Here is a 1,422-nt window from a genome sequence, read left to right on the forward strand (position 1 = left end):
GGGTTCATGGTCTCGCTGGCTCAGCGGTGAAGTTACAGACTTTTGCGGTGAGTGTTATAGCTCTTAAGGTGGCGAGTCTGGAGTTGTTCGTCTCTCCCGGTGGGTTCGTGGTCTCGCTAGCTTCAGGAGTGAAGCTGCAAACCTTCGCAGTGAGTGTTAACAGCACATAAAGGCAGTGTGGACCCAAAAAGTGAGCAGCAGCAAGATTTACTGCAAAGAGTGAAAAAACAAAGCCTCTACAGCATGGAAGGCAACTAAGCGGATCGTCCCTGCTGACCGGGGCAGCCTGCTTTTATTTCCTTATCTGGCCCCACCCACATCCTGCTGATTGGTCCACTTTACAGAGAGCCGATTGGTCTGTTTCACAGAGAGCTGATTGGTCCGTTTTGACAGGGTGCTGATTGGTGCATTTACAATCCCTGAGCTAGACACAAAAGTTCTCCACCTCCCCACTAGATTAGCTAGATACAGAGTGTCCATTGGTGTATTTACAAACCCTGGCTAGACACAGAGTGCTGATTGGTGCATTTACAAACCTTGAGCTAGATACAGAGTGCCAATTGGTGCATTCACAATCCTTTAGCTAGACATAAAGATTCTCCAAGTCCCCACCAGATTAACTAGATAGAGTGCTGATTGGTGCATCCACAAACCCTGAGCTAGACACAGGGTGCTGATTGGTGTGTTGTTTACAAACCTTCAGCTAGATAAAGAGTGCTGATTGGTGTGTTTACAAACCTTGAGCTAGATATAGAGTGCTGATTGGTGTATTTACAATCCCTTAGCTAAACATAAAGATTCTCCAAGTCCCACTAGACTCAGGATCCCAGCTGGCTCCACCCAGTGGATCTCACACCAGGGCCACAGGTGGAGCTGCCTGCCAGTCCTGCGCCGTTCGCCTGCACTCCTCAGCCCTTGGGCGGTGGATGGGATTTGGCGCCGTGGAGTGAAGGGGGCGGCACTCATCGGGGAGACTCAGGCCGGGCAGGAGCCCACGGCGGGCGAGGGGGCAGACTCAGGCAAGGCGGGCTGCAGGTCTCGAGCCCTGCCTGGTGCGGAGGCAGCTAAGGCCCAGCGACAAATCAAGCGCGCGGGCTGGTGGACCAGCACTGCTGGGGGACCCAGTGCACCCTCTGCAGCTGCTGGCCTGGGTGCTAAGCTCCTCACTGCCTGGGCCGCAGGGCCGGCTGGCCGCTCCGAGTGCAGGGCCCACCAAGCCCACGCCCACCCGGAACTCTAGTTGGCCCGCAAGCGCTGTGCGCAGCCCCGGTTCCTGCCCGTGCCTCTCCCTCCACACCTCCCCGCAAGCCAAGGGAGCCGGCTCCGGCCTCGGCCAGCCCAGAGAAGGGCTCCCACAGTGCAGCGGCAGGCTGAAGGGCTCCTCAAGCACGGCCAGAATGGGCGCCGAGGCCGAGGAGACAC

This window comes from Homo sapiens, chromosome 2 (assembly GCF_000001405.40).
Source record: "Homo sapiens chromosome 2, GRCh38.p14 Primary Assembly".
NCBI classification, from domain to species: domain Eukaryota; kingdom Metazoa; phylum Chordata; class Mammalia; order Primates; family Hominidae; genus Homo; species Homo sapiens.